General features: G+C 49.5%; 1 long non-coding RNA gene and 2 pseudogenes across 1 annotated transcript, besides 5 other annotated features; 2 read left to right on the top strand and 1 right to left on the bottom strand.

Moving 5' to 3' along the window:
* RPS2P4 (ribosomal protein S2 pseudogene 4) lies at positions 6,874 to 7,824 on the top strand (annotated as a pseudogene).
* Positions 8,021 to 8,289: a silencer, noted in NCBI's record as "fragment chr14:105301829-105302097 (GRCh37/hg19 assembly coordinates)". NCBI's record gives its function as "represses an EF-1alpha promoter that drives an FKBP-Casp9 reporter gene in an ReSE screen in phorbol 12-myristate 13-acetate-treated (for megakaryocytic differentiation) K562 erythroleukemia cells {active_cell/tissue: K562(+PMA)}" and the evidence as "EXISTENCE:reporter gene assay evidence [ECO:0000049][PMID:32094911]".
* Positions 12,611 to 12,945, top strand: RPS26P49 (ribosomal protein S26 pseudogene 49; annotated as a pseudogene).
* Positions 15,344 to 16,129: an enhancer, noted in NCBI's record as "H3K27ac-H3K4me1 hESC enhancer chr14:105293989-105294774 (GRCh37/hg19 assembly coordinates)". NCBI's record gives its function as "activates a minimal SCP1, AML or CMV promoter by ChIP-STARR-seq in naive H9 embryonic stem cells {active_cell/tissue: H9 hESC(naive)}" and the evidence as "EXISTENCE:reporter gene assay evidence [ECO:0000049][PMID:30033119]".
* Positions 16,130 to 16,915: an enhancer, noted in NCBI's record as "H3K27ac-H3K4me1 hESC enhancer chr14:105293203-105293988 (GRCh37/hg19 assembly coordinates)". NCBI's record gives its function as "activates a minimal SCP1, AML or CMV promoter by ChIP-STARR-seq in naive H9 embryonic stem cells {active_cell/tissue: H9 hESC(naive)}" and the evidence as "EXISTENCE:reporter gene assay evidence [ECO:0000049][PMID:30033119]".
* Positions 17,065 to 17,234: a silencer, noted in NCBI's record as "silent region_6204". NCBI's record gives its function as "represses an Ori minimal core promoter by ATAC-STARR-seq in GM12878 lymphoblastoid cells {active_cell/tissue: GM12878}" and the evidence as "EXISTENCE:reporter gene assay evidence [ECO:0000049][PMID:35858748]".
* VESTAR (VEGFC mRNA stability associated lncRNA) lies at positions 20,063 to 22,580 on the bottom strand. The gene has a single exon (NR_024396.1). It is a non-coding gene; the product is annotated as a VEGFC mRNA stability associated lncRNA (long non-coding RNA).
* Positions 20,918 to 21,549: an enhancer, noted in NCBI's record as "H3K4me1 hESC enhancer chr14:105288569-105289200 (GRCh37/hg19 assembly coordinates)". NCBI's record gives its function as "activates a minimal SCP1, AML or CMV promoter by ChIP-STARR-seq in naive H9 embryonic stem cells {active_cell/tissue: H9 hESC(naive)}" and the evidence as "EXISTENCE:reporter gene assay evidence [ECO:0000049][PMID:30033119]".
* Positions 22,581 to 22,734: the final 154 nt, after the last annotated feature.

The following is a 22,734-nucleotide window of genomic DNA, read 5'->3' as shown; positions in this document are numbered from 1 at the left end:
CGCTGCGCCCAGACGCGCCTGTGCAGAGAACAGGTGTCCCGGGGGACCGAACGCACTGAGCGCGGATTCTGGGAATATATGCGCGTCCTGGCTCCGGGTAACAGAGCAGCGGAAAGCACCCGCCAGGGAAAGCAGGAAGGGACCGGTCCGCCGGGCGGCGGGGCAGGCGAGCCCGGGGGACGGAGGCCAGGAGGGAGGGAACGGCGGGAGAGACAGGGTTTTCGTTTGGCTTCACTTGCTGTTTAGGATGAGGAAGCCTTAGGGGAGGGCCAGCGGCCAGGAGGAGGCCGCCGGGGCGCTGCGGCGACGGAGCCCCACTGTGTGCCTGCCCCTGCAGGGCCCCGGCCTGGCCTCCAGCACCACCTGCACTTACAGGTGAGCGTGGGGGGCTTGGCGCGCTGGGCGGGCATCCCGGGGTGACAGCACGTATGCCCAAGGTGGCCTGCTTGACTCTTCCTCGAAGCTTCTTCCTTTCGGCCCCCAGGCCTAGAACTTGGGGGCTCACACCCGCAGACCATCAGTCAAAGAGCCTGGGCCTCCCCCAAAGGGCCTCCTGGTACCTCATCTGCCAGGACCCCAACCCCCAAGCTTGCAGGGACAGAGGTTCAAACCTCTGCTGGGAGCGAGCACCTGGTGTTTCCAGCAGGGCCCGGCCGAGGCCATGAGCAAAGGCAGTGGGGAGGAGGAGGAGAGCAGGGCTCTGCTTACCTGCAGAGAACAGACAGGTCTGACCCAATGCACTTATTCCACAGCACAGGGAAAGGCGGGAGCCCCCAGCCCCCAATAACAGATGGTACAGAGGAGAAGGTAGCCACCCACTTGTGCACATAATAAAAGTGAAATAATTGGCGTAAACATTGGTAAAAAAGGATTACAGAGCTTCCCCTTCTTTTTTTATTTTTACATTTTTTTATAGAGATGAGGGTCTTACTATGTTGCCCAGATTGGTCTCAAACTCCTAGGCTCAAGTGATCCTCCTGTATCCGCTGCCCAAACTGCTGGGATTATATGTGTGAGCCACGGCACCTGGCCAAGCTCTTCTTCTTGATGATGATATGCTTGAACACCTGAACGATCTAAGAGACTCAAGTAAAAACTGCTGGCCTTAATAAAATAATCTGGTAAATTGAGAAGAGAAGAAGTATGCTCAATGATCAATCTTTCTTTCCATTCCAATAATGAGCTTCTGGCAAAGGCAATGGGAAATCTATCCCATCCAGAAGAGCGACAAAGAAATATAAAAAGCTTAAGAAAATCACTAAGGAAGGCACAGAACCTATAGGAAGAAAACATGGAATGATATGGAGCAATATCTGGACAAAAGAAAGCAATACCAGGTAGAACCCCAGATCTTTTCAATGACTAAAACTATCTTAAAGTGTATATGGAAGAATAAATGCTGAAGAACAGCCAAGAAAAGAACAAAAAAGAAAAGTGTGGCCAGGCGCAATGGCTCACGCCTGTAATCCTAGCACTCTGGAAGGCTGAGGTGGGCAGATCGCTTGAGTCCAGGAGTTTGAGACTAGTTCTAGCCTAGACAACATGGCGAAACTCTGTCTCTACAAAAAATACAAAAATTAGCCAGGCGCGATGGCACATACCCTTAGTCCCCAGCTATTTGGGGGTCTGAGATGGGAGGATTGCTAGAGCCTGGGTGGTTGAGGTGCAGTGAGCCATGATCGTGCCACTGCACTCCAGCCTGGGTGACAGAACAAGACCCTGTCAAAAAGAAAGAAAGAGAGGAGAAGGAAGGAAGGAAAGAAGGGAGTAAGGGAGGGAGGGAGGAAGGGGAGGAAGGAGGGAAGGAGGGAGGGAGGGAGGAAGGGGAGGAAGGAGGGAGGGAGGAAGGGAAGGAGGAAGGAAGGAAGAAAGGAAGGAAGGAAGGAAAGAAGGGAATGAAATAGAAAAATGAGCAAAGGTTATAAATAAGCAATTCATAGAAGAGCAATATGAAATGGTTAACAAACATTTGAAGAAGTTCTAATTCACTAGCCATCAGGGAAGTGTCAGCTAAAGCACTGCTCACACAGGGATCTACCCCCAGGTGTCAGACACAGAAGACAACCTAGCACCTAGTGCTCCCAGAGGTGTGAGGGCCCCAGGGACCCTCATTTGCTGATGGCGGAAATGAAAATCATTACAACAATCACCTTGGGAAGCAGCCTCTCAACTGCAAACACAATTAAGAAGGCAAATGGACATTGACCCAGCAATCCCTGACGCATTTTTTTATAATGGCAAAAGAAAAAAATCATAAATAAAGAGAATGCTAAATTAGTAAATTGTTCCTTCATCATTAGTGCACTCAACAAATACATACTAGACCATGTGCCTGACACTGTTTTCAGATCCTAGACTAAGGCAATAAGCAAATAAAAATCTTTAGACCTTATGGAAGATTTATTCAGTAAATGAGACAGAAAGAGACAAATAAATATATTTAAAATGTTAGGTAGTGGCAGGTACTAAGATAAAAAATAATCCAGGAAAGAAAAGAAAATTAAGAAAACAACTCCATCTGCATGCGATAGCATCTAAGATAATTAAGTACTTAGGAATAAATCTAACCAAGGAGGTGAAAGACTTAGATGCTGAAAACTACAAAGCATTGCGGAAAACAATTAAAGAGAGAAATAAATGGAAAGATACTTCATATTCATGGATGGGGGACGAAACATTGTTAAGATGTCACTACTACCCAAAATGATCTACAGATTCACCTCAGTCTCTGTAAAAATTCCAATAGCCTGGGCCGGATGTGGTGGCTCATGCCTGTGATCCTAGTACTTTAGGAGGCCGAGGCAGGCAGATCACCTGAGGTCAGGAGTTGGAGACCAGCCTGGCCAACATGGCGCAACCCCATCTCTACTAAAAATACAAAAATTAGCTGGGCATGGTGGCAGGCACCTGTAATTCCAGCTACTCAGGAGGCTGAGGCGGGAGAATTGCTTGAACCCAGGAGGCAGAGGTTACAGTGAGCTGAGATCGCGCCACTGCACTCCAGCCTGGGGGACAAGAGCAAAACTCCATCTCCAAAAAAATAAAAAATAATTCCAACAGCCATTTTTACTTTTTCAGAAATAGAAAAGCTGATCCTCAAACTCATATGGAATTGCAAGAGACCACAAATAGTCAAAATCGTTTGTAAAAAAGAAAGATAAAGTTGCAGGACTCACATGTCTTCACTTCAAAACTTACTACAAAGCTACAGTAATTAAAACAATGTGGTATTGGCATAAGGAGTGACATATAGACCAATGGAGTAGACTAGAGAATCTAGAAATAAGCCCTCGCATATTTGGTTAAATGATTTTTGGCAAAGTTGCCAAGACCATTTAATGGGGGGTAGGACAGTCTGTTCAACAAATGGTGCTAGGAAAACTGGATATCCATACACAAAAGAATGATGTTGGATCCTAACCTTATGCTATATACAAAAATGTACTCAAAAATGGATCAAAAAACCTAAACGTAAGAGCTAAAACTACGAAACTTGGCCAGGCACAGTGGCTCACGCCTGTAATCCCAGCACTTTGGGAGGCTGAGGTGGGTGGATCGCCTGAGGTCAGGAGTCCGAGACCAGCCTGGCCAACATGGTGAAACCCTGTCTCTACCAAAAATACAAAAATTAGCCAGGTGTGGTGGCAACGCGCCTGTAATTCCAGCTACTCAGGAGGCTGAGGCAGGAGAATTGGCTTGAAACTGGGAGGCAGAGGTTGCAGTGAGCCAAGATTGCACCACTGCACTCCACCCTGGGCAACAGAATGAGACCCTGTCTCTAAAAAGATTTTTTTTTAAAGAGTAGAATAAGGCCTGGTGCAGTGGCTCACGCCTGTAATCCTAGCACTTTGGGAGGCCGAGGCGGGTGGATCACGAGGTCAGGAGTTTGAGACCAGCCTGACCAACATGGTGAAACCCTGTCTCTACTAAAAATACAAAAATTAGCTGGGTGTGGTGGCACATGCCTTGTAATCCCAGCTACACGGGAAGCTGAGGCAGGAGAATTGCTTGAACCCGGGAGGCAGAGGTTGCAGTGAGCCGAGATCATGCCACTACACTCCAGCCTGGGCAACAAGGGAGACTCCGTCTGGACACATAAACCCTCCCAAGACTAAACCAGGAAGAAGTTGAATCTCTGAATAGACCAATAACAGGCTCTGAAATTGAGGCAATAATTAATAGTCTATTAACCGAAAAAAGTCCAGGACCAGACAGATTCACAGCCGAATTCTACCAGAGGTACAAAGAGGAGCTGGTACCATTCTTTCTGAAACTATTCCAATCAATAGAAAAAGAGGGAATCCTCCCTAACTCATTTTATGAGGCCAACATCATCCTGATACCAAAGCCTGGCAGAGACACAACAACAAAAAAATAGAATTTTAGACCAATATCCCTGATGAACATCGATGCGAAAATCGTCAATAAAATACCCGAATCCAGCAGCACATCAAAAAGCTTATCCACCACAATCAGGATAGCTTCATCCCTGGGATGCAAGGCTGGTTCAACATACGCAAATCAATAAACGTAATCCATCAGATAAATAGAACCAATGACAAAAACCACATGATTAACTCAATAGATGCAGAAAAGACCTTCAACAAAATTCAACAGCCCTTCATGCTAAAAACTCTCAATAAACTAGGTATTGATGGAATGTATCTCAAAATAGTAACAGCTATTTATGACAAACCCACAACCAATATCATACTGAATGGGCAAAAACTGGAAGCATTCCCTTTGAAAACCGGCACAAGACAAGGATGCCCTGTCTTACCACTCCTATTCAACATAGTGTTGGAAGTTCTGGCCAGGGCAATCAGGCAAGAGAAAGAAATAAAGGGTATTCAATTAGGAAATGAGGAAGTCAAATTGTCCCTGTTTGCAGATGACATGATTGTATATTTAGAAAACCCCATCATCTCAGCCCAAAATCTCCTTAAGCTGATAAGCAACTTCAGCAAAGTCTCTGGATACCAAATCGATGTGCAAAAATCACAAGCATTCCTATACATCATTAACAGACAAACAGAGAGTCAAATCATAAGTGAACTCCCATTCACAACTGCTACAAAGAGAATAAAATACCTAGGAATCCAACTTACAAGGGATGTGAAGGACCTCTTCAAGGAGAACTACAAACCACTGCTCAACGAAATAAAAGAGGACACAAACAAATGGAAGAATATTCCATGCTCATGGATAGGAAGAATCAATATCATGAAAATGGCCATATTGCCCAAAGTAATTTATAGATTCAATGCCATCCCCATCAAGCTACCAATGACTTTCTTTACAGAATTGGAAAAAACTACTTTAAAGTTCATATGGAACCAGAAAAGAGCCTGCATTGCCAAGACAATCCTAATTAAAAAGAACAAAGCTGGAGGCATCACGCTACCTGACTTCAAACTATACTACAAGGCTACAGTAACCAAAACAGCATGGTACTGGTACCAAAACAGATATATAGACCAATGGAACAGAACAGAGCCCTCAGAAATAACGCCGCATATCTACAACTATCTGATCTTTGACAAACCTGAGAAAAACAAGCATTGGGGAAAGGATTCCCTATTTAATAAATGGTGCTGGGAAAACTGGCTAGCCATATGTAGAAAGCTGAAACTGGATCCGTTCCTTACACCTTACACAAAAATTAATTCAAGATGGATTAAAGACTTAAATGTTAGACCTAAAACCATAAAAACCCTAGAAGAACACCTAGGCAGTACCATTCAGGACATAGGCATGGGCAAGGACTTCATGACTAAAACACCAAAAGCAATGGCAACAAAAGCCAAACTAGACAGATGGGATCTAATTAAACTAAAGAGCTTCTGCATGGCAAAAGAAACTACCATCAGTGTGAACAGGCAACCTACAGAATGGGAGAAAATTTTTGCAATCTACCCATATGACAAAGGGCTAATATCCAGAATCTACAAAGAACTCAAACAAATTTACAAGAAAAAAACAAATAACCCCATTAAAAAGTGGGCAAAGGATATCAACAGACACTTCTCAAAAGAAGACATTTATGCAGCCAACAGACACATGAAAAAATGCTCACCATCACTGGCCATCAGAGAAATGCAAATCAAAACCACAATGAGATACCATCTCACACCAGTTAGAATGGTGATCATTAAAAAGTCAGGACACAACAGGTGCTGGAGAGGATGTGGAGAAATAGAAACACTTTTACACTGTTGGTGGGAGTGTAAACTAGTTCAACCATTGTGGAAGACAGTGTGGTGATTCCTCAAGGATCTAGAACTAGAAATACCATTTGACCCAGTGATCCCATTACTGGGTATATACCCAAAGGATTATAAATCATGTTACTATAAAGACACATGCACACGTATGTTTATTGTGGTACTATTCACAATAGCAAAGACTTGGAACCAACCCAAATATCCATCAATGATAGACTGGATTAAGAAAATGTGGCACATATACACCATGGAATACTATGCAGCCATAAAAGAGGATGAGTTCATTTCCTTTACAGGGACATGAATGAAGCTGGAAACCATCATTCTCAGCAAACTATCACAAGGACAGAAAACCAAACACCACATGTTCTCACTCATAGGTGGGAATTGAACAATGAGATCACTTGAACACAAGGCGAGGAACATCACACACTGGGGCCTGTTGGGGGTTGGGGGGCTGGAGGGGGATAGATAGCATTAGGAGAAATACCTAATGTAAATGACGAGTTGATGGGTGCAGCACACCAACATGGCACATGTATACCTATGTATCAAACCTGCACGTTGTGCACATGTACCCTGGAACTTAAAGTATAATAAAAAAATTTAAAAAACAATAAAAAGAATTTTTAAAAAGAGTAGAATGGCGCTTCTTGTCTGAGAAAACACCAAATGGCGGATGACGCCGGTGCAGGGGGGGGGGGGGGGGGTGCCGGAGGCCCTGGTGGCCCTGGGATGGGGAACCGTGGTGCCTTCCGCGGAGGTTTCGGCAGTGGCATCCGGGGCCGGGGTCGCGGCCGTGGACGGGGCCAGGGCCAAGGCTGCGGAGCTCGCGGAGGCAAGGCTGAGGATAAGGAGTGGATGCCTGTCACCAAGCTGGGCCGCTTGGTCAAGGAGATGAAGATCAAGTCCCTGGAGGAGATCTATCTCTTTTCCCTGCCCATTAAGGAATCTGAGATCATTGACGTTTTCCTGGGGGCCTCTCTCAAGGATGAGGTTTTGAAGATTATGCTGGTGCAGAAGCAGACCCGTGCCGGCCAGCGCACCAGGTTCAAGGCGTTCTTTGCTATCGGAGACTACAATGGCCACGTCGGTCTGGGTGTTAAGTGCTCCAAGGAGGTGGCCACCGCCATCCGTGGGGCCATCATCCTGGCCAAGCTCTCCATTGTCCCTGTGCACAGAGGCTACTGGGGGAACAAGATCGGCAAGCCCCACACCGTCCCTTGCAAGGTGACAGGCCGCTGCGGCTCTGTGCCGGCGCGCCTCATCCCTGCACACGGGGGCACTGGCATCGTCTCCGCACCTGTGCCCAAGAAGCTGCTCATGATGGCTGGTATCGATGACTGCTACACCTCAGCCCGGGGCTGCACTGCCACCCTGGGCAACTTCGCCAAGGCCACCTTTGATGCCATCTCTAAGACCTACAGCTACCTGACCCCCAACCTCTGGAAGGAGACTGTATTCACCAAGTCTCCCTATCAGGAATTCACTGACCACCTCGTCAAGACCCACACCAGAGTCTCCGTGCAGTGGACCCAGGCTCCTGCTGTGGCTACAACATAGGGTTTTTATACAAGAGAAGTAAAGTGAATTAAGCCTGAAAAAAAAAAAAAGAGTAGAATGGCAACTCACAAAATGAGATATTTGCAAATCCTATATCTGATAGGATATTAATATGCAGCATATTAGAATTGCTGTAACTCCGAAACAAAAACTCCCTAAACAACCTAATTTACAAATAAACAAAGTACTTGAATGGACCTTTCCCCAAAGAAGACAGATAAATGGTCAACAAGCACACACAAAAAATGTTCAACATCATCAGTCACTAGGGAGATGCAAAATAAAACCACAATGAAATACCATGTCACACCCATTGGGATGGCTATAATTTTTTCAAAAGAAGCAAAATAACAAATGCTGGTAAGGGTAGTAAGAAATTAAAACCCTTGGCCGGGCACAGTGGCTCATGCCTGTAATCCCAGCACTTTGCGAGGCGAGCGGATCACGAGGTCAGGAGATCGAGACCATCCTGGCTAACACGTGAAACCCCGTCTCTACTAAAAAATACAAAAAATTAGCCGGACGTGGTGGCGGGCACCTGTAGTCCCAGCTACATGGGAGGCTGAGGCAGGAGAATGGCGTGAACCTGGGAGGCGGAGCTTGCAGTGAGCCGAGATGGGGCCACTGCACTCCAGCCTGGGCTACAGAGCAAGACTCCGTCTCAAAAAACAAAGAAACAAAAAAAGAACTGAAAAGGAGGAATCACACAGATACTTGCTCACCGATGTTCATAACGCATTATTTACAATAGCCAAATGTGGAAACAAGCCAAGTATCCATCAACAGATAAAAGAATAAACAAAATGTGGTCTAAACACATAAATGGAATATGCTTCAGCCATAAGAAGGAATGAAGTTCTGAGGCATGCTACAATATGGGAGAATTTGAAAACATTCTACTAAGTGAAATAAGCCAGACATTAAAGTTCCAATATTATATGATTCCACTTATATGACACATCTGGAATAGGCAAGTTTATAGAGACAGAAACTAGAATAGAGGTTACCAGGCCTAGAGGGAAGGGAGGGAGAGGGACTTATTGCTTAATGGGCACAGAATTTGGGATGACAAAAAAGTTCTGGAAATAGTGGTGATGATTACATAACATTGTGGATGTACTTAATGCCACTAAATTGTACACTTAAAACGGTTATAGTGGTAAATTTTTGTTTGTTTGTTTGGTTTTGAGATGGAGTCTCGCTCTGTCGCCCAGGCCACGGTGCAGTGGCACAATCTCAGCTCACTACAGCCTCCACCTCCTGGGTTTAAGCAATTCCCCCTGCCTCAATCTCCCAAGTAGCTGGGGTTACAGGCGCTCGCCACCACGCCTGGCTAATTTTTTTTGTATTTTTTAGGAGGGACGGGGTTTCACCATGTTGGCCAGGCTGGTCTTGAACTCCTGACCTCAGGTGATCAGCCCACCTTGGCCTCCCAAAGTGCTGGGATTACAGGCGTGACCCACCACGCCTGGGCAAAATTTATGTTATGTAAATTTTACCTCAATAAAACATAAATTTGAAAATATATATAGCAAAAGAAATGACAAAAGAATTAAATGGAGGCTGGCCGTGGTGGCTCACGCCTGTAATCCCAGCACTTTGGGAGGCCAAGGCAGGTGGATCACGAGGTCAGGAGTTCGAGACCAGCCTAACCAATATGGAGAAAACCCGTCTCTACTAAAAATACAAAAAAAAATTAGCCAGGGGTGGTGGCACCCACCTGTAGTCCCAGCTACTCGGGAGGCTGAAGCAGAAGAATTGCATGAACCTGGGAGGTGGAGCTTGCAGTGAGCCAAGATTGTGTCACTGCACTCCAGCCTGGGCAACAGAGCGAGACTCTGTCTCAAAAAAAAAAAAAAAAAAAGAATTAAATGGCACATTAGAGAATATATATTTAACACAAAAGAAGCAATATGGAGGAATAGAGGAGGAACAAAACAGGCAAGACAGAGAGAAAACAAATAGCACAATGGCAGACCTCAATCCCACCACTGGTAATTATAGTAAATATTAATATATTAAACACTAATTAAAAGAAAAAGATTGGCAGAATAGATTTAAAAAACATAATCCAACTATATCTGCTAGGTATAAAACATGATGGCTACTAGAGACACAGTTTAGATTCAGACACAATATCTTAAAAGTAAAATGACAGGAGGCCGGGCGCGGTGGCTCATGCCTGTAATACCAGCAATTTGGGAGGCCGAGGCGGGCGGATCATGAGGTCAGGAGATCGAGACTATCCTGGCTAACACGGTGAAACCCCGTCTCTACTAAAAATACAAAAATTAGCTGGGCGTGGTGGCGGGCACCTGTAGTCCCAGCTACTCGGGAGGCTGAGGCAGGAGAATGGCGTGAACCTGGGAGGCAGAGCTTGCAGGGAGCCAAGATTGCACCACTGCACTCCAGCCCGGGCGACAGAGCGAGACTCCGTCCAAAAAACAAAGTAAAATGACAGGAAAAGATATAACATTCAAACAGCAACTCAAAGAGAGGTGGAGTTCCTCTACTAATATTAGAAAATATAGATATTAAGACAAAAATTATTGTTAGAGACAAAGAAGGATGTGTTATAATGATAAGAGGGTGATCCATAAGGAAGATATAATAACTAGAAACACATATGCACTGGCTGGGCACGGTGGCTCATGCCTGTAATCTCAGCACTTTGGGAGGCTGAGGCGGGCAGATCACGAGGTCAGGAGATCGAGACCCTCCTGGCTAACACAGTGAAACCCGGTCTCTACTAAAAATATAAAAAATTAGCCAGGCTTGGTGGCACCTGTCTGTTATCCCAGCTACTCAGGAGGCTGAGGCAGGAGAATCACTTGAACCCGGGAGGCAGAGGTTGAAGTGAGCCAAGGTGGTGCCACTACACTCCAGCCTGGGCGACAGAGCGAGACTCTGTCTAAAAAAAAAAAAAAACAAAAAAAAAAAACTGACAAAATTGAAGGGAGAAATAGATAATTCAAATTAATTGGAGATTTCTTCCTTCCTTTTTTTTTTTTTTTTTTTGAGACAGAGTCTTGCTAAATCTCCCAGGCTGGAGTGCAGTGGTGCCATCTTGGCTCACTGCAACCTCTGCCTCCCAGGCTCAAGCCGTTCTCCTGCCTTAACCTCTCAGGTAGCTGGGATTACAGATGCCTGCCACCACACCGGGCTAATTTTTGTATTTTAGTAGAGATGGGGTTTCACGATGTTGGCTGGGCTGGTCTCAAACTCCTGACATCAGGTGATCCGCCCACCTTGGCCTCCCAAAGTGCTGGGATTATAGGCGTGAGCTGCCACACGCAGGCCTAGTTGGAGATTTCAATACCTCACTTTCAATAATGGATAGAACAACTAACAGAAGATAACGAGGAAGTAGACAACTTCAACAACACTATAAATCAACTAAACTAAACCTAACAGATCTTGAAAAAATGGTCCACACAACAATATCAGAATCCATATTCTTCTCAAGAGCATATGGAAGGTTCTCAAGGATAGACTATATGTTAGGCCAAAAAAAACACCTCAATAAACCTAAAAGGACTGAAGTCATGCAAAGTGTGTTCTCCAATCATAATGTAATAAAATTAGGAATCAATAACAGAAGGAAATTTGAGAAATTCACAAATAGGTGACGATTAAACAACACAATTCTAAATAACCAATGAGTCAAATAAAAAATGTCAAGAAAAAATTTAAAGTACTTTGATATGAAAGCGAGTGGGGGCATAACATACCAAAACTTATGGATGTAGCTAAAGTGGCTAAATAGGGAAATTTAGACCAGGCGTGGTGGCTTAGGCCTGTATCCCGCACTTTGGGAGGCCGAGGCGGGTGGATCACGAGGTCAGGAAATCGAGATCATCCTGGCTAACATGGTGAAACCCCACCTCTACCAAAAATATAAAAAATTAGCTGGGCGTGGCGGCGTGCACCTGTAGTCCCAGCTACTTGGGAGGCTGAGGCAGGAGAATGGCGTGAACCCGGGAGGCGGAGCTTGCAGTGAGCCAAGATTGTGCCACTGCACTTTAGCCTGGGCGACAGAGCGAGACTCTGTCTCAAAAAAAAAAAAAAAAAAGAAAAGAAACTAGAGAAAAAGCAAACTAAACCCAAAGCAGAAAGAAGAAAGGAAATAACAAAGGTGACAGTGGAAATAAATAAAATGGAGAACAAGCCAGGCATGGTGGCTCATGCCTACAATCCCAGCACTTTGGGAGGCCAAGGCGAGCGGATCACGAGGTCAGGAGTTCGAGACCAGCCTGGCCAAGATGGTGAAACCCCCGTCTCTACTAAAAATACAAAAATTAGCCGGGCGTGGTGGCAGGCGCCTGTAATCCCAGCTACTCGGGAGGCTGAGGCAGGAGAATCACTTGAACCCGGGAGGTGGAGGTTGCAGTGAGCTGAGATCGTGCCACTGCACTCCAGCCTGGGTGACAGAGCAAGACTCCATCTCAAAAATAAATAAATAAATAAATAAAAATGGAGAATAAAAAATAGAGAAAAATCAGTGAAACCAAAAGTGAATTCTTTGATAAAATCAATAAGATTGACAAACCTTAAGTTGTACTGACCTACAAAAAAAAAAAATAGAAAAGCCTTAGATTAATAAAATCAGGAATGAAAGTAGGTACAGTAGGACTGACCTTCAGGAAATAGAAGGGATGATATGCTCGGAATAACTGGAGGCCAATAAATGAGATAGTCTATATGAAACTGACACATTTCCGAAAAGTCACAAACTAATGAAACTAATCCAAGAAGAAATTTTAAAAAGCTGAATAGGACTTTAAGAAGTAAAAAGATAACTCTCTTGGGTCTGTGCCTTCAAGATGACAAAGAAAAGAAGGAACACTGGTTGTGCCAAAAAGGGCCATGGCCATGTGCAGCCTATTTGCTGCACAAACTGTGTCCAAAGACAAGGCTGTTAACAAATTCATCATTTGAAGCAGTAGAGGCCACAGCAGTCAGTAACGTTTCTGAAACAAGCATCTTCAAAGCCTACGTGCTTCCCAAGCTGCACGTGACGCTACACTGCTGTGTGAGTTGTGCGATTCACAGCAAGGCAGTCAGGAATCCATGTCGTGCAGCCTGCAAGGACCAAACAACCCTACCTGGATTTAGACCTGTCTGTGCTGCCCCACAACCACCATCAAAGCTCATGTAAGGAGCTGAGTCCTTAAGGACTTAAGAAAAACTATTCTCGGCCGGGTTCGGTGGCTCACAATTGTAATCCCAGCACTTTGGGAGGCCAAGGCAGGCGGATCACGAGATCAGGAGTTTGAAACCAGCCTGGCCAACATGGGGAAACCTCATCTCTACTAAAAATACAAAAATTAGCTGGGCATGGTGGCAGGTGCCTGTAATCCCAGCTACTCAGGAGGCTGAGGCAGGAGAATTGTTTGAACCTGGGAGGTTGGAGAGAGCCAAGATAACGCCATTGTCCTCCAGCCTGGGCGACAGGGTGAGACTCTGTCTCAAAAAAAAAGAAAAAAGAAAAAGTATTCTCTGGAGAAAATTAAAGTAAGAAGATTAAATTAGTGACAAACAAAACAAAACAAAAACAAAAAAATAACCTCTCTATAAAGAAAACCTTAGCCCTTTTGGCTCCACTGGTGAATTCTACCAAATATATATATATATTTTTTTTTTTTTTTTTTTTTTTTTTTTTTGCGACGGAGTCTGGCTCTCTCACCCAGGCTGGAGTGCAGCGGCGCGATCTTGGCTCACTGCAAGCTCTGCCTCCCAGGTTCAAGCAATTCTCCTGCCTCAGCCTCCCGAGTAGCAGGGACTACAGGCGCCCGCCACCCCACCACACCTGGCTAATTTTTTTTTCTTTTTTTTTAAGTAGAGACGGGGTTTCACCGTAGCAGCCAGGATGGTCTCTATCTCCTGACCTCGTGATCTGCCCATCTCGGCCTCCCAAAGTGCTGGGATTACAGGCGTGAGCCACTGTGCCCAGCCAACACTGAACACTATTAAACGTCATTTAAAGAAATTAAAAGGCTGGGTGCGGTTGCTCACACCTGTAATCCCAGCACTTTGGGAGGATGAGGCAGGCAGACACAAGGTCATGAGACTGAGACCAGCCTGGCCAATATGGTGAAACCCCATCTCTACTAAAAATACAAAAATTAGCTGGGTGTGGTGGCGCACGCCTGTAATCCTAGCTACTCAGGAGGCTGAGGCAGGAGAATTGCTTGAACCTGGAAGGCAGAGGTTGCGGTGAACTGAGACTGCGCCACTGCACTCCAGCCTGGGCGACAGAGCAAGACTCAAAAAAAAAAAAAGATGAATTTTATGGTATGTGAATTATATCTCAATCTTAAAAGTTTTTAAAAAGAGAATGAAAGAAGAGGAATTAGAGGCATGGCATGTAGACAGCATTCTGTGGGCGTCTTGCAGTAAAGATCTATGCCTTTCTTTTCTTTTCTTTTCTTTTTTTTTAATTGAGACAAGGTCTTGCTGTGTCACCCAGGCTAGAGTGCAGTGATATCATCATGGCCCGGACTCCCAGGCCCAACCCAAGGGATCCTCCCACTGTAGCCTCCCCAGTGGCTGGGACTACAGGCCCATGCCACCATGCCTGGCTGATTTTCCCTTAATTTTTTTGTTGTTGTTTTTAAAGAAATGAGGTGTCACTATGTTGCCCAGGCTGGTCTCCATCTCAAATAAATAAATAAAATACCACAGACTGAGTAATTTATAAATACTAAAAATGTATTCCTCACAGTTTTAGGGGCGGGGAAGTCCTAGGTCAAGGCCAGCAGATGTGGTGTCTGGGAGGGATTACACCCTCTTGCTGTGCCCTCACATAGAGGAAGGGGCCAAAAGGCCTAAAGAAAAGAACCCGCTGCCTCAAGCCCTTGTGTAAGAGCACTAATCCCGTCCGCCCTGCCCTGGTCACCTCCCAAAGGCCCTACCTCTTAATACCATCACTTTGCAACTTAAGTTCCAATATATGAATTTTGGATGGACACAAACATTCAAACCATAGCACACACAAAATAAGCTTAAATATTTTATTTTTTGAGACAGGGTCTTGTTTTGTCACCCAGGCTGGAGTGCAGTGGCCCCATCTCAGCTCACTGCAACCTCTGCCTCCTGGGCTCAAGCAATCCACTCACCATGGCCTCCCAAAGTGCTGGGACTACAGGCGTGAGCCACTGCACCTGGTCTTTTAAAATTTTTTTTTTTTTTTTGAGATGGAGTCTCCCTCTGTCGCCCAGGCTGGAGTGCAGTGGCGCGATCTCAGCTCACTGCAAGCTCTGCCTCCCAGGGTCATGCCATTCTCCTGCCTCAGCCTCCCGAGTAGCTGGGACCACAGGCACCCGCTACCACGCCTGGCTAATTTTTTGAATTTTTAGTAGAGACGGGGTTTCACGTGTTAGCCAGGATGGTCACAATCTCCTGACCTCGTGATCCGCCTGCCTTGGCCTCCCAAAGTGCTGGGATTACAGGCGTGAGGCTGAGGCAGGAGAAAGGTGTGAACCCGGGAGACGGAGCCTGCAGTGAGCCAAGATCGTGTCACTGCACTCCAGCCTGGGCGACACAGCGAGACTCTGTCTCAAAAAAAAAAAAAAAAAGAGTGACCACTGGTCGTCCTCACTGCTACACTCCCACCAGCACCATGAGAGTTTACAAATGCCATGGCAACATCAGGAAGTTACCCCTTATGGTCTAAAAAGGAGAGTCATGAATAATACACCCTTTGTTTATCATATAATAAAAATAAAACCATAAAAATGGTCACCCAGCAGCCCTCTGGCCCGCTCTATGGAGTGGCCATTCTTTTATTCCTCTAATTTCTTAATAAATTTGCTTTCGCTTTACTTTGTGGACTCGCCCTGAATTCTTTCTTGCGTGAGATCTAAGAACCCTCTCTTGGGATCTGGATCAGGACCCCTTTCTGGTAACCCCATGAACCACAGACTCACTCTCAGCCCTGGATCCCCATGCCTCTGCCACTGAGGCCTGAGGGACCACCTCTCCCGCCCCTGCCCTGAGCACTCTGGTGTCTCCGGCCAGCCCTTTCTCTCCAAGCCAGGCTCCTCCCACCCTCCCTGCCTTCTCCAGCCGTGTACCAGACACGAACCTGTGGAAGGAGAGCCCGCAGCTCCTGGGGCACCTGCATTCAGCCCAGCCCCTCCTCCCTGCCCCGTCCCTGGCCTCCCCCAGCCCCTGGCGGCTTCTTCTCTGCGGCCTCCTCCTAGTGGCTGGCTGAGCAAAGGACAGGAGGTACTTAGCCTTATCATCTGCCCTGCCCCTCCAGGACTGCAGGCGCCAAGCCCCCTGCACGCCCCTACTTCCCCGATGGGACCTCCCTGCTCCCAGCCAGTCAGCCTCCCAGGGAAGCTTAAGGCTGCTGCCTGGCTCCAGGGCGACGGCTGTTGGTGCTGGGGCCCAAGACGCAGGAGAGATTCAGACAGCACTTGGGGCCACACAAGACAGTGCCTGGGACGTGTGAAGCACCGCCCTCCCCTGGACGTGAGTCCACCCCAGGGCTTCAACGCCAGCCTGTGCCCACCTCACGCAGGCCTTTCTCCGCGGCTCAGGTGCTTCCTCCCCCCCACCGAAGCGCTGGTGCTAAGGTCACCGCCCTGCCCCACCGTCACTGTTCACTGATACCAGTCCTGGGCGCCCTCCTCGCAGCCCCTGCCCCACTCCACACCGGATCGACCACCAAGGCCTCTGCCTCCTACGCATCCCCAACGCCTTTTCCTTCCTTCCCGCGGACCTGCGGGGCGGGGGCGGGCCTGGCGTTTTTGAGCTGGACCCGAGCAGCCTCCCGGTGACTCCCCTGCTGTTGCCACCTCCTCATTCTCCACTCAAGAGACAAAGCGACCTCCCCGAATGCAAACCCGACCAGCCGCACTCCTTAAAATCCTTCGACGCTTCCCATTTCTCCCAGGGAAAAACTCCCCCACTCCTCCCCACCTGTGTCCGCGGCCCCTGCAGGACTGAGAGTCCGAGGTCTCCGCGCCGTCACCTCCCCCGACGCCCTTCCAGCTTCCCTGGGAGCCCGGGGCCATCCTCCGAGCCCACCCGCCCCCTCACCCCCGCAGACCCCCCTGCAGACCCTAGCAGTCCCCTGCGGCCCGTCTCGCCTTGCGGACGAAGCCGGGGCGCCCGAGGTCTCCGCCCTCTGAGCTTGCGTCCCCATCCCCAGGGGCCCCCAGCACAGTTCCTGGGGCAGGGCTGGAGCTCATCAGCCCCGGGACGGAAGGTTAGATTCCCAGGATCCACCGTGTCCAAGGGTTGCATTCCCACTCGAGCCCCGCCCCTCCGGCAGCCCCGCCCCCTCCGGCAGCCCCGCCCCCTCCGGCAGCCCCGCCCCTCCGGCAGCCCCGCCCCTCCGGCAACCCCGAAAAGCAGAGCGCGGCGGGAGCCATTGCGAAGTTTGCCGCCAGGGGGCGCGCGGGGAGCGGGGCGCAGGGCTGGCGGGGAGTGCGGAGCCGGGCGCGGGGAGAGGGCGGGACGGGTGCTCCTCCCGGATGCCCAGGGCGCCCAGCGCCGCGGGAAAGGCGCCTCCCCAGCAGGACGCCAGGCTCTGGGGCTAGCGCTCCTCGCCGCAGAGAGCTTGGGGCTGGCCACGGGTGGCCTGAGGATGACTTGGGACCGCCCCCCGCTCCAACGCCAGCTGTCGCAGTCTGCTCCGCTTCCCAGAAGGACCAGACCTTTCGCTTAGGGATTTCATTTTGGGAACTCCCTTTAAAGCGCTTCATTCATGCCGCAGTGCCTTGAGGGCGAGGATTGGCCACACCCTCCTAGGGACAGTGCTCACCCCGGCCTGAGCTTAAGAACAGGAGTTCCCCAGCCTCGTCAGACGCCCCACCTAGCCCTCCCAGCCCACCCCCCGCATATCCCCCTGCTCTGTGGTCTTGCACTGCCGCAGCGCTCCCACCACCGCCTTGCCCGTGTGCCCTCCAACCAGCGCCAGGGGTTGCGGTCAGAGCTCAAGCCCGATCTGGTCTCTCCGGGGATCAAACCTTCCTGCAGCTCCCATCGCACTCGGAGTGAACATCCAAGACCCCAGGAGAGCTCCATAAGGCCTCCACACCTTCCTCTCCCTCTGGCTCCCCTCCCTGCCGGTGCTCCGGGATCTCCTGCCACTTCGCTACGCCCCAGCACGCCCCAAGCCCCACATCAGGCTTCTGCTCCTGCCAGTCCCTCCGCCCCAGCCATTTCCTGCCTCTGCTCAAATATTCCCAGTCAGCGAGGCCATCTCCGCCAATCCTCAGACTGCCGGTATCTGTCATTCCGATTCTTTTCTTTCCTTAAGAGACGGAGTCTGACTCTGTCGCCCAGGCTGGAGTGCAGTGGCACCATCTCGGCTCACTGCAAGCTCCGCCTCCCGGGTCCCGCCATTCTCCTGCCTCAGCCTCCTGAGTAGCTGGGACTACAAGCACCCACCACCACGCCTGGCTAATTTTTTTGTATTTTTAGTAGAGATGGGGTTTCACCGTGATAGCCAGGACGGTCTCTATCTCCTGACCTCGTAATCTGCCCGCCTTGGCCTCCCAAAGTGCTGGGATTACAGGCGTGAGCCACCGTGCCCGGCCCGATTCTTTACTTTTCTATTGGCTTTTAAGCTGGGGAACCTGCCACCTGCCTTCATGAATCCCACCCAGAAGAGTCTTGGGGACTTCTAGAATCATCTGGAGTCCACAAATAACCATCTCCATCAGACACCAGAAATCCTGCAGAGTGCACCTCCACCCAGTTCCTTGTCTGTGCCTCTGCATCTCTGTCCTCACAGTGGCCCCTATCCCTAAAACCAGCCCAGGTCAAAGCCTCTCCAGTCTTGACTTCTCATCCACAGGACAGGCCCACAGACCCCTGTGATCAAGATTTCCAAACCTCCCAGAGTTTGCTCAGGTAGCAACCCTGGGGGATCCTCCATCCATCCAATTATCTTCCTAGCCAACCATCTTTAAACATCCATCTTTCCACCACCTATGCATCTGTCCTTAACCCCATCATACCATCTATTCAACCATCTGTCCAACCATCCATCCATCCACCCAACCAACCATCCATCAATCCATCCAACCATTCAACTGTCCATCCAACCTATCATCTACCAACCATCTATCCATCCATCAGTCCACCATCAATCCATCCATCCAATCATCCCTATCCATCCAACCATTCACCTATCCTACCATCCATCCATCAATTCATCCAACCATTCACCATCCAACCATACATCCACCCACCCAACCATGCAACCATCCACCAGCCTACGATCCATCCAAACATTCATCCAACCATCCACCATCTTACCATCCATCCATTAATCTATCCATCCAACCATTCACCATTCTACTACCCATCTAACCATTTACCTAAACATCTACCATCCTACCACCCATCTATCCATCCACCATTCTATCATCCAGCCAATATGCATTCATCTAACCCTCCATCCATCCATCCATCCATCAATCCATCCATCCAACCACCCACCATCCTACTGTCCATCCAACCATTTATCTACCCATCTACCACCCCACTGTTCATCCATCCATCCAACATCCATCCATCCTACTATCCATCCAGCCAATTATCCACCATCCACCATCCTACCATCCATCCAACCATACACCACCCGAATATTTATCCCACCATCTATCCAACAATCCACCCACCCTGTATCCATCCTTCCACCCATCCAACCATTCATCCATCCCTGACCCATCCAATCATCCACCTGTATCTGTTTTTTGGGGGGGGGTTTGAGATAGGGGTCTCGCTCTGTCACTCAGGCTGGAGTGCAGTGGCATGATCTTGGCTCACTGCAACCTTGCCTCCTGGGTTCAAGCAATCCTCCCACCTCAGCCTCTGGTATGGTTTGGCTGTGTCGCCACCCAAATCTCATCTTGAATTCCCATGTGTTGTGGGAGGGACCCAGTGGGTAATTGAATCATGGGGACAGGTCTTTCCCATGCTGTTCTCGTGATTCTGAATAAGTCTCATGAGATCTGATGGTTTTATAAGGAGGAATTTCCCTGCATAAGTTCCTTCTCTCTCTTGTCTGTCACCATGTGAGATGTGCCATTCCCCTTCTGCCATGATTGTGAGGCCTCCCCAGCCACATGGAACTGCAAATCCAATAAACCTCTTTCTTTTGTAAATTGCCCAGTCTCAAATACGTCTTTATCAGCAGCATGAAAATGGACTAATACAACCTCCCAGTGAATAGTTGGGACTATAGGCACGTGCCCCCATGCCCAGCTAATTTTTGTATTCTTCTTCTTCTTTTTCTTTTTTTTTTTTTTTTTGAGACAGGAGTCTCGCTCTGTCACCCAGGCTGGAGTGCACTGGCACCACCTCGGCTCACTGAAACTTCCACCTCCCAGGTTCAAGCGATTCTCCTGCCTCAGCCTCCTGAGTAGATGGGATTACAGGTGCCCGTCACCACGCCTGGCTGATTTTTGTATTTTTAGTAGACACAGGGTTTTACCATCTTGGCCAGGCTGGTCTTGAACTCCTGACCTTGGGATCCACCCGCCTCGGCCTCACAAAATTCTGGGATTACAGGCATGAGCCACCACGCCCGGCCTTTTGTATTTTCAAACGTCCAGCAGCACCACTGGTTGCGCACCTCATCTGGAGGGAAGGGAGGGCCTGGAGGACAGATTTACGTTGATTAGGCCTAACTCACAGGCAGGAGATGGCTCTGTGGACTGGGGAGGGGAGCTAAGGAACTGCTTGAAAGGGCAGGGGCTAAGACATTTGTAATCCATGAAAATGCTGGAAGCATTCCCTGCAGAGGAGGGGCTCAAAACCAGGGAGGCCTTCGGTGGACGGACACATCATGGCCTTGCCACGCCTCTGCAGTCCTTTGCACAAAGTGGCTGAGGCCACAGGCATGGTGGCCACACAGGCTCCGTAGCCTATTCACCCCCACCAGACCCTTCCAGCAGCATGGACAGCTGGGCGCCCATCTTTCCAACAGCGAGGATGGTGTCTGAGCCCTGATGTGGCACCACCCCCTGTGGGGAGGGCAGCCAGCCTCCAGGAAGCAGGCAGAGCACACGGCGTGCCTTTTGTCGAGAGCCAGTCCTTGCAGGGATGGATCCTCAAAGGGACGGGTCCTCGCAGGCTTCTCCCGCCAGCATGCCATCCTTGGCCTCCTTCGCTGCCTTGGGATTCCACAAATGACACTTGTAATCCAGGGCCTTGTTTCAGAGGAAAACCAGTGTGGCGATAAGCTTGTGTCCATCAGTTCCACTGGTCTCACTCCACGCCCTTCACCTAGAAGCAGGAGGCCTAACAGACTGGTGGAATGGTTGCAGCGGGGAGACTGCACCCCTTAACACTGAGATGCAGGCCTGTGGGGGGCAGAACAGGCTTCTAACCTGGGACCGACCTAGGAGGCCGTTTCCCCACCGCCAGAATGCCGAACTGGAGGTGGCCATGCCTGTGAGAGGGCTTCTGTGGACGGACGCCAGTCACGGCCTTGCCACGCCTCTGCAGTCCTTACACAGAGTGGCCGTGACAGCTAATCGGCTATGGAGGGATTTTTCTTTCCCACTCTGGTAAGGTGGGGTCGCAGGAGTGGCAGTCCTGGCTCCCGGTCCTCTGGGGAACGTGGGTCTGCTTCCCAAACACAGGAGCAGAGATGCCCTCTGGCCATGTGGGGCCGCTCACTGCCGAGCTGACCGCTGGAGAAGGGAGCTCCGCGGGCCAGAGATCTCTGCAGAGGAATCTCTTCGGAGAGATCCCTGCAGGAGGGTGGGAATGCTGCCTCAGGTGAGGAGGAAGCACTGTGTCAAAACCCAGGGATTCTGGGGCACTGCTCGATATTCCCATGTCACCTAATAAAGGTCCGTGGAAAACTAGGGCAGCTCCCACAGACAGAGCTGTGAGGCTCAGAGCCGGCCTGAGTGAGGACTCGGGTCGAGGTGCCTGGTAGAGACCCCAGCCTAAGCGTGGCAGAGGGAGAAGCACATCGGATGTGTGGGGAGACAGAAGCTGTTACGGGTCGAATTGTGTCCCCTCGAATTCATATGTTGAAGGCCTAACCCCCAGGGCCTCAGAATGTGACCTTGTTTGGAAATAGGGTCTTTGCAGATGTGATCCATCAAGTTAGGGTGAGTCATCCCGGGAGTGTGGGCCCCTGATCCTGTGTGACTGTGTCCTTATAAAGACGGGAAATTTGGACACAGCTCGCAGGGAGAATACCATGTGAAGATTCGGGCAGAGATTGAGGCGCTGCCTCCACCAGCCAAGGAACAGCAAAGATGGCCTGCAAACCCCACGAGAGTGGAGGAGAGGCCAGGTTCCCCACAACTGCCTCAGACCCAACCAGCCCTGTGGACAGCTGGAGCCTCCAGAACTGGGACCACACGCTGCTGCTGTTCACGCCCCGTTGGAGGCACCTCCTTACAGTGGCCCTAGCACACCAACGCTGGAGCTGTACTCACCAGTGCGGGCCCCCGACCCGCTCCTGCGTTGCAGGCCGGCAATGCCCCGACCCAGGAGCTCTGTCCTGAGGTCCATGCTGCAGAGTTCCTTGCTGTGCCCTCCTCCAGCTCAAGGGACATGGCCCCTCAGCACCTAGCCCCTTCCGTCTAGGTTGCTGCCCACACAGGCCTGAGCCTGCTTCCCAGACGGCAGGCCTCTTCCTGGGGTCTGCCTCCTGGGTGGACGCCGCCGCTGCGTGCACACATCTAGGCTCAAGTGGTGGCTGTTGGTGGTGGGCAGTGGACAGAGCTTGGTCGTCAGGCTGGGGTTTTGACATGCCTCTGGGAGAGCCTCCATGGTGCAGGGATGAGGAGTGGGCCAGCCGCAGCAGGAGCTTCTATTCCCGGACGCAGCGTATTGCAGGTTAATTTACCATTTCCTTTGATCCTCTTCCCTGCCACCTCTAAGGAGGGATTACTAGTGGCTCACAACACAGCTCCGATTTCTGTGGGAAGTGCCGCTGTGGTTTCTTCCGTTTGGGGTT

This window comes from Homo sapiens, chromosome 14 (genome assembly GCF_000001405.40).
Source record: "Homo sapiens chromosome 14, GRCh38.p14 Primary Assembly".
NCBI classification, from domain to species: domain Eukaryota; kingdom Metazoa; phylum Chordata; class Mammalia; order Primates; family Hominidae; genus Homo; species Homo sapiens.
This window is presented reverse-complemented; position numbering and strand designations above follow the sequence as displayed.